We start from the raw sequence: 16,597 nt of genomic DNA, 5'->3' as shown, positions 1-16,597 counted from the left end.
ATAATAGAAAAAGAAAACATTAAGACATGCTTAATAAGGAAATATAAAGAAATAAAGTATTAGTAAATGAAGCAACCTAGAACAAACTAAAATATCTAAGTAATCATTTCATTATGACTATCTTTCTAAGTGGCTTTCTTTTTTTTATTATACTTTAAGTTTTAGGGTACATGTGCACAATGTGCAGGTTAGTTACATATGTATACATGTGCCATGCTGGTGTGCTGCACCCATTAACTCGTCATTTAGCATTAGGTATATCTCCTAATGCTATCCCTCCCCCCTCCCCCCACCCCACAACAGTCCCCAGAGTGTGATGTTCCCCTTCCTGTGTCCATGTGTTCTCATTGTTCAATTCCCATCTATGAGTGAGAACATGCGGTGTTTGGTTTTTTGTCCTTGCGATAGTTTACTGAGAATGATGATTTCCAATTTCATCCATATCCCTACAAAGGACATGAACTCATCCTTTTTTATGGCTGCATAGTATTCCGTGGTGTATATGTGCCACATTTTCTTAAGTGGCTTTCAAAACATACGTAAACCTTTAATAGAAATGCTATCAAATCCTAATTTATGTGTAAATTTTATTTTTAATTTAACTGAGTCTACATACATTCAATTTGGGTACTGTCCTATTGAAAATACTTTTGAGTGCAACAGATTGTGAAATGTGGTTTATAATTGTGTGAAAGTAGATCTCATTACCTAGTAAAGAAACATAGTGTAGTAACAATTGTACACCAAAGATGTGCTTACTGAAACATGATGGATATGTGTGTGTGTGTGTGTGTTGCTCTCCTAACCACACAGCTACATATATGTGTGTGTGTCTATATATACATATATATGTATATGTGTATATATGCATGTGTATATATGTATGTATATGTATGTATGTATATGTGTATATGTACATATATATGTATATGTGTATATGTACATATATATGTATGTATGTATATGTATACACACAAACACATACATGTAGCTGTGTGGCTAGGACAGCAAACAGAGCTGAAGTGTACCAAAACAAGCAGTGGTAAAATTGGGGAGAACTTGTGTGATAATTTTGAGTGAGATGTAATTAGGAAGGACATGTCTAGCATTGTTTTTCATCTTATGGGCGTTTCCAAAATACCCTGGCATGTGATATCATGCAACTTATGTAAAATTGCCGAGAAAATAACTGACAAAGCCAGAGCATGGTAGATGGTGAATAAAATTGGGATCTGAAAGAGCAGAGACAGAGTCCATATTCACCACCTCTTGGCTGTGGGCCTTCACCAAGCAAATTAGGTTGAACCTCATTTTCCTCATTTGTAAAATAAAGATCATCATAGCTATTGGGATGATTGCTGGCAGTGGTGGGGTGCAGTGGGGGCACAGCGGGGGGAGTGAAGTGAAATTATGTAGATAGTATATGACAAAGTCCTGATATCCAAAAGCTGCTCAGTAACCCTTTATGGAGGTAGTGCAGTGTGATCACTGAGCATGGGTTTGGAAACCAGATTTCTGGGTTCAGATCCCAGCTCTGCAGTTGCTCATCTCTCTTGTGATTCAGTGCCCCCCTCTGTAAGGAGAGATAATAGCACCACTTATCTCAAAAGGCTGTGGTCAGAATCAAATAAATATATGCCTCTTAGAATACAGCCTGATGCATAGTCCTGGCTGACACATTCATTTATGTCCAATAAATATTTGTAAAAATTTAATTTATAATATTAATTATAAAATAGTATTCCTAATAAAAGGTTACTAGTGGTAGTATCATTAAAGATGTTTTGTTAGGGTAACCAGTTAAGAGAGATTCCCCTTGTATGTATGAAGGTAAAGAGTTTTAGTTGAACTTGAATACTATTTATAAAAAAAAAAACACCAGAAGGTACTATTTCACTCATCTAATATGTTCTAAATGCTTTTTTGAAGATCAATGTTATTTATGATAATGATCTGCCAAAAAGTTCACATAGGACTGTATGAAAAGTAATCTCCTGACTATTGATCAGCCTCAGGTTTTATTTCCTTACCTAGCCAATTTTTCAATGCCTTCGCAGCAGTTTAAATGTAATTACAAACATCTGGTCCCACTGAAGTCTCCTTAATTTTACAGTTATTGCTCAAACTCCAGACATTCTTCTTAGAAGTGCGATTTTATTGTTCATTTAGTAGAAATGAGGCAACTCTGATGCAATATGGTTGCCGTGAAATAAGTAATTTCTGGTAACCCATAGAAACAATGTTTACCACTTTGTTCTTGGTAAATACATGTGCATTTCCCTTGAACATATTACTTGGAGATAGTATTTACTTTTTTCCAGCCATAAAAAGGGGAAGTGAAAGAAGTTAAGATTATTGAAAAAGATGTATGCTATTTTTATGTTCATTTGGTTGGTTGGTTCATTTCCCTGTTTCTGTATTAATTATTAAGCAGGTGGCTTCTATGATTTTTCTATGAAGTAAATGCTTTTCTGTAATATCTCTTACAATATTCTGGTATCTTATAAAATCTATATAGAACAAGCATTAAAAATGATTAAAATTCTTGGAAGATTTAGATATCCCTAAATCTTTTGACACCTTTGAAGAAAAAGGTCTTACTGTATGGAACAGTAAGCACACAAAAAAATTCACTGTTAGCAGAATGCAAATAAATTGGGTTTGGGGACCTGGTATATCAGGGTTGGAATCCTAGCCACTCCAGAAGATAGCCCTGTAATCCTCATGGAGGAATTTCATCTCTGAGCCTCTTTACTTTTATCAGTAGCACCGATAAAACTCATCAAAGCCTGTTGTGATGATTTAATGCAATCAATGAAGATTAATCAACCAGTACAGTGCATTACTCATAATAGATGCACAGCCAACATTTCTGCCTTTCTTTATCAACCAGAAAATGTAGCACATAGCTTTATTTGGCAATTTTCTTGATCTGCTTCAAAATAAATTTTGTTCAAAAATTTGCAGCATGACAGTTTTAAATAAAACTACATTTATAGTATGCACATTGATTATCACTAGGATTTTAGGGAGTTTTTAAGTCCCAATTTAAATGGAAAAGTCATTGTGAGGACATGTTATGATAAAAGTGAAATACCTAAACTTTTTCTTATTACTGTATTGAAGAATGTGCTTATGTAAGATTTAAGGTAGAATGCCAACTTGTATGTTATAGTAATGTTGCCATTACTATTTTACTTTCTAGATAAACAAACCAGGTATATTTCTTTACTCATGAATATGTCTGAAGCTGGCATTTATGGCCTTTTCATTTCATTTTTTAAGTAATGCCAGAAAAAAATTCAGCTTATACACGTTAACTGTATTTATTATAATAACTAATGATATTCTAAAAAGAGGTACTGACATTTTATGGCATTATAAAATTTCAAGTTAATTTCTTGATTTGTTTATGTAATTTCAACATCTCAGAATCCTGTAGCATTGATAGTTCTATTGCTGATAGTTGTTTCTTAAACAAGAAAACTAGGGAGAAAATAAATGATTTGTCCAAAGCCACATGATATGTAAGTGCTGGAACCACAAATGGAAACAAAGGGATTCTGTTTTCTGCCTTTTAGTCCATCTCAATTTCTGTTGCATTGTGTGGCAAAGTTTCATCACCCTAAATCATATGTTACCACAGCAAACAATTTTTTATTTTTTTATTTTTTGAGATGGAGTTTTACTCTGTCGCCCAGGCTAGAGTGCAATGGCTTGATCTCGGCTCAGTGCAACCTCTGCCTCCTGGGTTCAGGCGATACTCCTGCCTCAGCCTCCTGCATAGCTGGGATTACGGGCATGCGCCACCACACACAACCGGCTAATCTTTTTCTATTTTTAGTAGAGATAAGGTTTCACCATGTGTTGGGGCAATCAGACCCAACACCAGGTCATGGGGGCAATGAAGTCGGGCGGAGTCAAAGGAATGAGAAAAGAGAGTTTGAAAGAGAAAGTGGGTCCAGGGGACCAACCTGAGTATGGAGACTGCGAAGGCCCCAAGCTCCAGAAGCCCAGACTATTTATTGGTGATCAAACAAAGAAACAGGTGGTGAGAATGTGAGGGTCGAAAGGGCAAGTGCATGATCTACAGCTGTGATGGTTTAGCATTTCCTTTGAAGCAGATGGAACATATTCTGCTACTTGAGATAATGGAGCAGGTTGTTTTAACTCAAGATACAATCGATCCTGGGAGAGCAAGGAGCAAGGACCCAGCAAACCTAGATACATTCCAGAGGCTGTGAGGGTTTTATGACCTGAGCCCTGGATTCTGTCCAAGCCACAAGGGGTTTTATGCCCTGGGCTTAGATTTTGGTGCATCAGGACAGCCTTCCACCCTTTGGCATAGAGCTTGGTGTTCCAAAGGCCATGAGGGGTTTTAGACCCTGGACCCCAGACATGTTCCAAGACTCTTTTACGTTATGTCAGACATGCAAGCCCTGCCTCAGCTTCTCCCAACACTCAGCTTCTCCCAACACCATATCGGCCGCAAACAATTTTAGAGTCATGCTAGAAATGTTTTTTTAAACTATATTACTTACTGGTGTCTAGGATGTATAGTATTTGCAACTCATTTCTTCACTTTATAGTTTTATTTTTGACAGATGCTGCTTAATATTTAGGATCTTGTATATTAAAAATTCAGTAAATGAAGGTAATTTATGTATTCAAATATGAGCAGATATAACTTCAGTTTTTGTTCTTTAATTTCCTCTTAAATACAATTGATGACAGGAAGCTTTGTAGAAGTCAGATGTGTGTAATATTCTAATATAGCATTCTGGTTGTGTTACCCAAAAATTCATGCTGTGCATTGTCCTGAGGAAATCTGAGGGTGGAAGGAGAGTGTCATGAGTAATTATTATTTAGAGACAACCAACCAGGATAATAAAATAGTTTGGCAGAATTGAGGCAAGACATTGACTAACATACAAAGAAATTGAAATCAAAGTCTGAGAGTTGAGTCAATATTTTTGAGTTAAGACAAATATGGGTTTGAATTTTAGCTCCTCTACCCATTACCTCTATGATGGATAGTATAAGGGTTATTTTCCACTCTGGTTCTTGGATTATCCTTTCAGAAAACCACTGGAAGTGTCAGTGGCAAGTGTATGAGCTGAGAAATCAGCTTCACAGTGTTCAAGACTCAAATTCACCAATGACCAGTCATGTAAATTCAAGCAGTGATAAGTCTATAATTCCTAAATCCACAAAGCTCTAAAATCATAATGACTTTTATAGCTCATTTAACTATAATACCCTACCTCTTCTGAGCTGACATGAACCATATATAATCTTTACGTATCCCACTTAGTGTGAAGAGTTCTGTGTTTCACTGGTAGCATTGTCCTATCCCCTGTTGTGATGTTATACAGTCTATAGTTAATTATCATATTACTTTCTAAAATCAAATAACAAACAAAAATTTTGACTTCCAAAGCTCATTTGGTTTCAAAAGTTTAGGTTTTTTGGTTTGTTTTTTGTTTGTTGTTGTCATTTTGAGATGAAGTCTTGCTGTGTCTCCCAGGCTGGAGTGTAGTGGCACAGTCTCTGCTTACTGCAACTCCCGCCTCCCAGGTTCACGTGATTCTCCTACCTCAGTCTCCCAGATAGCTGGGATTACAAGTGTGCACCACCACGCCTGACTAATTTTTGTAAATTCAGAAGAGACAGGGTTTCACCATGTTGGCCAGGCTGGTCTCGAACTCCTGACCTCAGGTGATCCACCCGCCTTGACTTCCCAAAGTGCTGGGATTACAGGTGTGAGCCACTGTGCCTCGTTGGTTTCAAAAGTTTTGAATCAGACACTGTGGACTTATACCGAATATATGTAAGCCTCAGCTTCCAAAACTACCTGAATGTATTAGTCAGGGTTTCTCCAGAGAAATAGAATCAATATGTATATATACGTGTATATGTATACATGTATGTGTATACATGTATATATAGGAAGAGATGTATTATATATATAATATATGTTATTGATATATAACATATAACTATATATTATATAGAGATATAGATGAAGAGATTTATTTTAGGATATTGGTTAATGCTATTATGGAGGCTGAGAAGTCCCAGGATCTGTGAACTGCAAGCTGGGGACCCAAGAAAGCCCATATTGATGGTGTAGATCCCCACCAGGGTCTGATGGCTTGAGAACCAGGAGCACCAAAGACAGAAGATCAATATTTGAGCTCAAGTATTCAGGCAGAGCAAATTCAACTTTCCTACACCTTTTTATTCTGTTCAGACCCTCAACAGATTAGATGATGTCCACCACATTGGGGAGAGTCATTTGCTATACTCAGTCTAGCAATTCAAATGCTGTTCTCTCCTGGAAATCCCTCTGCAGACACACTCAGAAATAATGTTTAACTGGCTATCAAGACATCCCATGGCCCAGTCAAGTGGACACATAAAATTAATGTCACACTGAGCTCTATTAAGTTGTTGTGAATATGAAATGATATAATCTATGTAACCCACAGGGCCTAGTAAACTGTAAGCATTAAATAAATCTGAATCATTACTATTATAGTAAAGCTTTCTCAATATCAGGCCTGCCTACTTTTTTCTAATAAAATTGTGTAAGCTTTATTTTATCTGTAATTCAATGAAATTCCATCTTCCTGCCAACATACATTTTCAGCCAAGGCATCGGAAATTGGATTCTACCATTCCTTATTTCCCTCCTGCTCTCCGTTTCTCTATTTTGGTCTTTTTCTTTCCTTCCTTCCTTCTCTCTCTCTCTTTCCTTTCTTTTCTTTCTCACTATGTTGCTGGCCTTGGACTCCTGGGTTCAAGCAATCCTCCCTTCTCAGCCTGCCAAGTAGCTGGGACTATAGGTGCACACTACAGTGTCCACCCAGCAGTTTTGGTTTCCTTAAGACAAAATATTTAGGAACTTTTATTTTGGCAGTTAAGCTATCACCAAAATATTTTGGCAGTTAAGGTATCACTAAACAAAATAAATTGTTTAGTGCCACTAAACAATGTTTAGTGCCACTAAAAATCTTAAAACAGTCTATAAAATCGGAACAAATTAGAGTTTATAAAATAAGAACAGAGTTTGTAAAATTAGACAAAAGACATCCTGAGGGTTTTAAAAAGTCAAGAAAGAAGCAGCTCCAGATATGAACAGATGAAAAGCTCAAGGTCTTATCTGTAGTGTCCTGGAAAGGAAAAGCAGGCAAAAACTGACAGGTTTCCATTATGATCACCTTTTACTGTAGTGAAACTTCTTAAGCTAACCCAAATTTAACAACAACAACAAAAAGTACCTCTCACGAACAGCAATATTTACCACCAGCCACTCCCTGGCATTGACGGAAGTATCTGAGTCACTATTGCTTAAAGGTTTATTCAAGCAGATTTAATGATTAGTCTGCTTTGTGGAAGGTGGATGGAAGGGAATGGCTTCAACGTGACTTCTTGACTATGGATGAAGTTACATTAAAATTCTTGTTAATTCTTAGTTATATTCTACTAAACTAGCAGAAAGTATTAAAGACATTTTATTAAAACATTAACACTTCACATTTATAAAAAGAAAATCAAAATTTTACTTAGTTATTCTTAATTTTAAATTTAAACAGCACTCTCAATGATTGTTTTTAGGATGAGGACTTCAATTATAATTTTAACTTAAAAAAATTTGTCACATCATCATGGAAATTATTGTCATATGAATGAAGTGTGGAAGAATTTCAGGAAGCAACTAGCAATTGTTAACCCAAGGAACTGCTGACTAGGGAGGAAGAGATAGATTCACCCATAGACTTTCTTGCTTAGGTCCCAGTGAAGCAGTAGAACCTGATTATTTTTAGATAGAAGTTTGTATTTGCTACTTTGTAAAAGAAGGTAAAAACAAACATCATGGGAAAGTTATGAATGTTGTTGGCCATTCTAAAATTTATCTGTGATTAATAATTTTAAAAAATATTATTGAGTTACAGATTGTGGAAAACACCATTATCATTCTGAGTTTAGCATTGCTAAAGAACTTAAATCAGACCAGAGTGTAGGCATCCATGGATTTATACATTGAACTTTCCTCATTTTCCTCCTCTTTCACTTTATTTTGTACAACAGCAATCTCAGTTATCTACACCAAGGATAGAATCCAAATTTACAAGGTTAGTCCTAGAGGCTTGTTTATTGTCGGGCACCTTGCATCGGTCTTTCCCAGTTGTATCTTGGTGGTCAAGAATTCCAACTGTCAGTGTCTCCCTCTCTGATAACATTTGCTTAGAACTTTTCAAATGGCACCATTTACAGGATACAGTACCAAAGAAAATTCTAAGACAGGAAAAAAAAGTTTTGTGGTAGTTACTGAATCTGAAAGATTATAGTATAAGATGATAAACCTCATTAAAAATCTATAATATTTCTTCTTTCTATTTCTTCATTATTTAGATGATACAACTCAGTTCTTAACATTTTAAATTTTGTTTTTGTTTAAAAATATCTTTAGTGTGACTAAAAGCTGGTCACATAAATATATTTGTGTGTGTACTTGACTTTTACATGTATGTGTAAATACATGTATATGTATATAATATACATGATATATGTTATAAAAAAGGAAAGTAGACAAAAGAAATTCTATCTTTTGCACACAATAATATCCTCAGCAGATACTATTTGCCTCATGCAGTTCTGGCTTTTAATACAAATTGTGACCTTTTCCTCTGACTTATTCTGAAATCATGGAGGACTTCATAATAGTAGAGGGTGAAGCAAATAGCAATTTAACATTTTCAATCCTTGTGGAAATTTTCTCTTACCAAAGAGATGGGCAGAAATGGTATTTATGACTAGGATGCTATTTTGAGATAAATAGAAGTGTGAAATATTATAGATGCCATTATAAAATGCAAATGTCACAGCAGAGTGGATTAGAAGTTGAGGTCTCAGCTGGATTTTTCTCAAACCTCTTGGTTTGTAAAATAAATTCTGGTAAAAGGTTTTTCTTCTTACTATTAGTAAGCTATTTTGCATAACCCATAGCTATGCTGGTCTTACACAAATTATGACCCTTGTTTAAAACTTCCCAGGGAATATTTATTAATTGACTTAACAATACCAAAGCATTTTAAAGTTTAAAATCGTGTGTTGTTGATTGTTATTTACAGGAGAGGATTAGATAAAATAAGAGTGGAAAGGTGGAATGAAAGCCGGGAATCAATTGCAAAGATGCAAGCGGTGAGGAAAGGCAAAAGGAGGAAGAGAGGACCTACTGTTTGAGATGAGGTGGTAGAGGTGGTGCTGGCGTTTGAAACCCCAACTCTGTATGAAATAGACGAGACAGTCTCGTCTGACAACTACTCAAGCAACATATCTTATTTTCTCCTCAAATACTAACGTGTACTTAAAATGCATTTCCAGGCCGGGCACGGTGGCTCAGACCTGTAATCCCGGCACTTTGGGAGGCCGAGGTGAGTGGATCACTTGAGCTCAGGAGTTCAAGACCAGCCTAGCCAACGTGGTGAAACCCTGCCTCTACTAAAAATACAAAAATTAGCCAGGCATGGTGGCAGGTGCCTGTAGTCCCAGCTACTTGGGAGGCTGAGGCAGGAGAATGGCTTGAACCCAGGAGGTGGAGGTTGCAGTGAGCCGAGATCACGCCACTGCACTCCAGACTGGGTGACAAAGGGAGACTCTGTCTCAAAAAATAAAATAAAAATAAAATACAATGCATTTTCATGTGTCTTTCCCCTCACATTACTATTTCTGGAGCACAGGCCTCATTTGTACTCATTTTACCTATGCTTTTTCTGACTCTAAAAACACTCGTGTTAACCAATATTAAAATTCAAAAACATTCATTGAAAAGGCATTTTAACTTACATTTGAAATTTTATTTTAGCAGTGGCATATCAAATTCAGGCTGCAGAACTTTCACCAAACTAGGTCAGTTAAGCTGGGGCAGGCCTGCCAGTTGTGTACTTGAATCAGAAATGCTTATCCAGGAAAGCCAGGTAGTTACCATGGAGAACGGACATTCCAGACAGCATGTGATTAGTGAAATTGACATTTCATTTTATGTGAGCAGAAGTTATTATTGGGTTTTGGTTAGCTGGGGGTTTTGTTGCAGTTACATTGCCTAGTTGGAGATAAACTAATGTCACTTAGTATCTGCGTGTAAGTAATTGTTTTCTCTCAAAATATTGTGTCACAAAATAGCACAACAGAAAGGTAGCAGTGCATGAAATATGTGTAGGAGTGAGGCAAGAAAATATAAAGGCAGAGCCTGATTTGTACTGTGATTACCCAGATCAATCACTAAAGAGCCAATTCTGTAATTCAGAAGCAAGTCTAAAAAATACTATTAGCAAAGTGTTAAACCTTTACATATAACAATTTTATAATAAAGGTAATTAACACTTCTTGGAGAAAACAGAAACGTATAAGAGGCAAAAGAAACAAGCAAACAACAAAAAAAAACCTATGATTTCACTACTCAGAATTAATTATTTACCACCATATTTGGGGGTATATTTCACTTCATTATTTGTTATATATGTATTTTTATTTAGTGAAAATAATTTTATATGTGAAGTATTATACTTTTCTTCTTTACATTGAAACAGATGCATATTTATAAGTTCATTATAAATTTTCATTAGCATTATTTTAATAGCAAAACATACTTATTAAATGGATGTGCCAAATTTTATTTAACAATGCCCTTTATTGTAATATATTTGAATTACCTCTACTTTGTCACTTTTACAAACATATTTAGCCATATGAATTCTTCTGGTAATTGTGAATTATTTTCTTAAACTAAATTTCAAAAAATGAAATGATAAGACAATAAATGTGATGAAGATTGTAAAAGCCTCTTCGGAAAAAGTATTAAGTTGCTTCCAAAACAGCAATTTACATACCCATAGAAAGAGTATAAATATTCATTTCAAATGTATGTCTGTATACACAGTATATAAACATTTGACTAAAGGTTATAATTCATTTTGCATTTCTTTTTGTCAGTGATAAATTTTTAAAATGTTTTTTAGTCATTTATGTTTTCCTCATAGTAAATTGTTTATATATTGACCCATTTTACTACTGGAGACTTCCGTGCTCCTCTTCACCAATTTTATAAGCATTTTACAAAGTATCCCCTTTGTGAAAACTTCAGCAAATATTGTGCTGTGTTTTGATCCAATTATTATTTTGTTTCGGATTTTTGACAAACTGAAGTTTCTGCTATTTATTTTGCATATTTTATCTGATACTCTTTTGTGGCATCTTCTAATTTTAAGCTTAGAAAATTTCGTTTGATCCTGAGATTTGTTAAGTGTACATTTTTTCTTTCTGCTACATTTTTTAGTACTTTTTTTTCACATTTATCTGTCTAGTCCATCTGGAATGTAGTTGGTTGAGCAATGTTTCATTAGTCAGGAATTTTTTTTCTATCATGAGCGATCACACTGTTTTGGACTAAGGTGGGCAGGTTTATTGATCCATAAAAGTGAGAATGGAAACCTTTTAACTTGGGAAAAGAGTAGCTGGGACTGGATGCCACCAGGATGCTTTTCCCATCACTTTTTCTTGCATGCTAGCTTCTTTTTCTCCTTGAGCTTGGGAAGTGGTGACCAGCCATTCACATTTTCACAGCTTTGCCACCTGAAAGTAAACCCCTCCCCAATAAAATATTCTTAATAAAGGTTGTAAGTTGTCACAGCATGGTTTACTTAACTCCAGTGGCCAAGGTGAGAGATGGGTACCAGTATTAGCAGCCCCCACTGGAGCCACATGGCTAGAGTGGGAGGGAAGTAATTTATCCAAAAGGGTAAGATTCCCGCAATTAACAAGAAAAGAAAAGAAGCTGGGTGGAAAGAAAGGGATTGGCACTGAGATGAGAGTCTTTCAGATGAGACTTTCCTTCAGTGTTCAGTTTGACTTTGTTTCCTTTTTTGAGATTTATGAGGGTTCCTAATCATGCTCCCATTCCTCCCATTAGTCCCTCTTACCCAGAATGTGGAGCCAACTGAGAAATAAAAGAAGGATGTCAGACAGATGGTGATTAGCACTTTGACTGTATTGCTTATAATGTTGTTTGGGAGAAAACAGCATGTTTATTTCCCAATAATTGAGTTCTTATTGTGAAACTTCTAAATTAAACCTACACCTTGATGCTTCAGGCCTGCACCTAATAAGAACACAACTCCTCCTTGATAAGTTTAGTGCATGAACTAACAGAAAATCCAACCATCCTCTGAAGAACAGGCAGATCCAAGTGTAGAGGATATCTTCCCTGAGATAGTGGATAGAATGAAACTAGAATTAAGATCTCTGGAGAATCAAGATGTCTAATATGCTGACAAAAGAAGGAGAATCCTTGAGTCCTCACAAAAAAATTGGGGTAGAGTATTTTGGCAAAGGTAAGAGAACAAGAGAAGAGGGGATTCTGCAGCTGAGCCTAGTGTTTGTGTAGATATCGTGACCATTGAAATCCACAGCATTGATCATAATTATTTTATCGTGTCAGAGCAACTAATGTTGTGGCATGGAATACACCAAGGTCTGCATTTTTAAAGAGGCAATATGGTACAATCACTTCAAATCTGTGTCTTCTACAACATAAGGAAAATTTGGAGCATAATGGCCTATCGTTGGAGCCTGATGTTCTCACATGTTTACTTTCATTCAGGAACATCAAATTAAAATTTAACATTTAGCACTTGTTATTTTTCATGCTGCTACTTCTGTGCAGTAGGACAAGCTAAATTTAATGTTTGGGGCTCAAAAGTGCCATGCCAAATTTTGCTTTGCTACCATTTTGGTTTTGAGTTTAAAGTTTTTTGCATTCATGTCTCTTAAAACTCATTTTTTAATCTTGTATCAACTATAAACTTGTTGAATGTTTTTTTTTTAGAGACAGTGAAATATTTTATTTCTTTTACTTTCATCCAAACACATCCATTTCTGAAAAACATAAAAGCATGCACAATTATGGCATTCTTATAAAGAAAAATTAATAACTAAGCTGTAAATTAACAATAATAATACAACGTTTAAATGATATGTGAAAAGATTTACAGGTAGGTATAGGGCTCTTAATTTTAGAAAATAATTCTAATCAATATCAATACAGGTTAAGGAGAAGCTTATAGTTTTCCAAACACTTGACTCTTAAAACATGTGGGTACATATGTATATATATCATATATACAGAATTCTATCTTGCCTTCATGGATTATGCAGGTAGCTAATGTATGGGAGCCATTATCCAAAGATGAAAAAAATAAACTATTTAAGAGCATCTTAGGAGTACATAACTTTATTGTAGTCTCATTTCGAGATTGCAATCACTGAAATTTTCAAAAGCTGTCTTTTAAGTGAGGAATTTGAAACACAGGAGACTAAGAACAATGAGAGTAGTACATGTGGGTGCAAATGAAGACAGGTGAGAGAGATGTCTAAAAGGGAATGCCGTGAAAAATGGTGAGGTGCAAGTGAAGTCATTTCTACAGTTTTATGGTTTTAATGCACCCACTAGTAGGCATTTGCATAAATTTTGGCTCTCTATTCTATGGATGATTGATTCAGCTTTGCATGGAATGTCATTTCATTACAGCTGTAGGTCTCTCAGAGATAAAACTTCTCGTATTTGGTCTTTTATTTTTCTCACAAGAGGTGACAAACATTGATTTAGTCTGGTGATTCTGCTTAATATAGAGTTTACTTATAGACCACTGAGTCTTCTTCCAGATATTTTCATATTCTTTTAGTTCAATATTTCTATTGAACAGTGGTTTACAAACTTTTGTGTGCATCAGAATCCCCCAGTGAGCTTGTTAAAAAGTATCATTTGTCCCCAGCCCAGGAGTCTTTTAGTAGGTCTGGGATGGAGCCTGGGAATTTGCATTTCTGTGAAGTTCCCATATGATATTAATGCTGTTTTGAGAACCACATTTAGAAAGCCAGTGCTGTAGGAAATTGGCTGTGGCTCAAAAATGGAGGTATTTGGTGTGCTTGCTTTTTAAAAGTTTCTGTTTTGAGTTCTAAAGTGAACCATGTCTCTAGATGGTGGTTGCTTATTATGAAAATGTGAGAGGCTTGTGGGAATATGGTTTTATTAGCAAGTGAAGATGTCTATGAGTAGTCTTGTTGTAGTTCTATAATGACAGTTCTTTAACAGATCATTTCACTGTGATCTATTTGACTCAAGAGCTGCTTCTCAAGAATTATTTTTTCTCAGTCAAGAGTGAACCTTAAGCCTTAACTTGTCTAGAAAAGAAAGGGTATACTGCGAAAAATAAATAAATAAAAACATGCCTGCCATGTCACATGTCTTAAGAAGCATGCTCTTTGAAGCAGCTGTTGTTTCAGCTGCAGAAGTCAGAAATTCAGTGCTTGGTTTACAAGTGATTTCAAGCAATTCTTCTAAGATGGTCTTATATTTGTGTAACTTTAAGAATATACCGATATAGAAATATTTTGCCAAAGTATACTCTTGACTATTGGGATCAAACACTGTATTTTCCTTTTTTTTTTCCTCTCCAAATCCACATGGAATTGAAATCAAAAGATGCAAAAGATCATTACAGTGAGAGAAAAAAATAACTGACTTTAGCTCTAGGTAAAAATCCCTACTACCTTTTATTATCAATATCATAATCTCAAGTGGGCACTATGCTTGAGCTGTGTACATAGTATTACATGAAAGAGAATATGCTTGCAAAGCTAAAGCATTTAATTAAAATGCAAAGTTTAAAGACACCTATGGATTCAGGATGGTGAATGAGTATACTCCGTAATAATATGTTTTACAGCCGGGCAGTGGCTCATGCCTATAATCTCAGGACTTTGGGAGGCCCCGGTGGGCGGATCATATGAACTCAAGAGTTCAAGACCAGCCGGGCCAACATGGCGAAACCCCGTCTCTACTAAAAATACAAAATTAGCCAGGCGTGGTGGCGCACACCTGTAATCCCAGCTACTCAAGAGGTTGAGGCGGGAGAACCACTTGAACCCGGGAGGCAGAGGTTGCAGTGAGCTGAGATCAGGCCATTACACTCCAGACTGGACAAAAAGAGTGAAACTCTATCTCAAAAAAACAATTAATAATAATAATAATATGTTTTACATTGAGACAATATTATTTTAAAATAGTCACAAATAACTTCCCAATGATGTGTGTAACCGTGTGAACTGCTCCTTCCAGAAATTCCAACCAGTGTATTTCAGCAAGAATTCAACAGATTTAAATATATAGGGAGTCAGAGGAAACTCTTTAGGATGAGGCTTGATAAGGGTGAGTCAGATAGTGAATGAGTACCTTTTTTATCATTTGAGTGTGCCATCAGAAGTCATTTCTGCGATGTGAAAGCAAAGTTCTAAATCACTATTAGAATAGTCAGGATAATAACTCTCTGTAACATAACATTCACTGTGATTAGAACAAAGCACCTAGATACCTTGACTGATCTATGCTTAGCATTCTCACCACAGGAAAGAACAACATTTTGTTATCTATCTTTCTTTTATAAATGCAATAAGTCCCTGGTAGCAATATGTGCAAAGTTACAGAGTATAAGCCCTGGGCCAGTCAAGTGAAATTTTGGTTGATGATTTTCTCTCAAGAATCGAATATGTCTAATGTACATTCAAAGTTACCTTTGCTTTCCAATTTCATATATTTTCTCTCGGATACAGAAAACCTCTTAAAAAGCCTCCTGTAAAAAACACTGCAGTTACAGCAAAAGCTGCTTGAGGATTAAAAAGGGAATGGTTACTTTTCTAAAAATACACAAACAGCCATAGTAATCTAAAAATACAACCATTCAACATATTAATGAATTAAAATCATAAAATATGAAGTAAATTACAGGCTTTTGAAATGTGTTTGACTTTTATTACCATATCACTTTAATATTTCTGAGTGTCTGCTTTGTACCTAGCAGAGATCTCCACATTAGCAATTTAAAGTGAAAAAATATATAGGCCCACCTTTTTGGTTTAGTGGGGAAAAACACAGATGACAACAATGTGTCATAGCTTTGATACCGGATAGACTCTGGCATGTTGAGGGTGCGTTTCTACTACTAAGAATGTCACCACTAAGAATGGTGACATTCTTAACTTTTTGAGGGATGGATTCAGAGGAAAATTTAGAGAAACTTGAAGGTGACATGTTGAATTGAATGAGAAGTCTATCAAAACTCTGCAAAGAACTATCATTGATGCTTCAACAGTTTCCTGAAATAGGATTGTCAAATCTGTAAGTCTGTGAGATTTCCGGAATCAGAGGTCTAATCAAAAACATTTAGCGTTCCCCACCCCCAAAACAACGGAAATTTTAAAAGTAAAAATTTCTCTCTTGGGTGAAAAAAATAAACACCCCAACTGATAAACGATATACTCAATGCTTACCAGAAATTTGAAAAAGAACTTATATAGGCAACAACATGGATGAAACTCAAAACCTAAGTTTGCATGAAACAAGCCAGATACACAAAGTGTGTTTATTGTTATTCTATTTGTATGAAATTTTAAAACAAGCAAAATTAACGGAAGGTGATGGAAGTCTCACTAGTAGTTACCTCTTAGGAAGAGGAATTGACTGGGAAGGGGAAAATCA

At 35.6% G+C, this 16,597-nt stretch overlaps 1 protein-coding gene across 6 annotated transcripts in view, besides 1 other annotated feature; it reads left to right on the top strand.

Moving 5' to 3' along the window:
• MARCHF1 (membrane associated ring-CH-type finger 1) overlaps positions 1-16,597 on the top strand; it is an 859,722-nt gene that overhangs the window by 565,762 nt on the left and 277,363 nt on the right. The window lies entirely within an intron of this gene.
• Positions 7,331-7,390: an enhancer, noted in NCBI's record as "active region_22106". NCBI's record gives its function as "activates an Ori minimal core promoter by ATAC-STARR-seq in GM12878 lymphoblastoid cells {active_cell/tissue: GM12878}" and the evidence as "EXISTENCE:reporter gene assay evidence [ECO:0000049][PMID:35858748]".

Source organism: Homo sapiens, chromosome 4 (genome assembly GCF_000001405.40).
Source record: "Homo sapiens chromosome 4, GRCh38.p14 Primary Assembly".
Lineage (NCBI taxonomy): Eukaryota > Metazoa > Chordata > Mammalia > Primates > Hominidae > Homo > Homo sapiens.
This window is presented reverse-complemented; position numbering and strand designations above follow the sequence as displayed.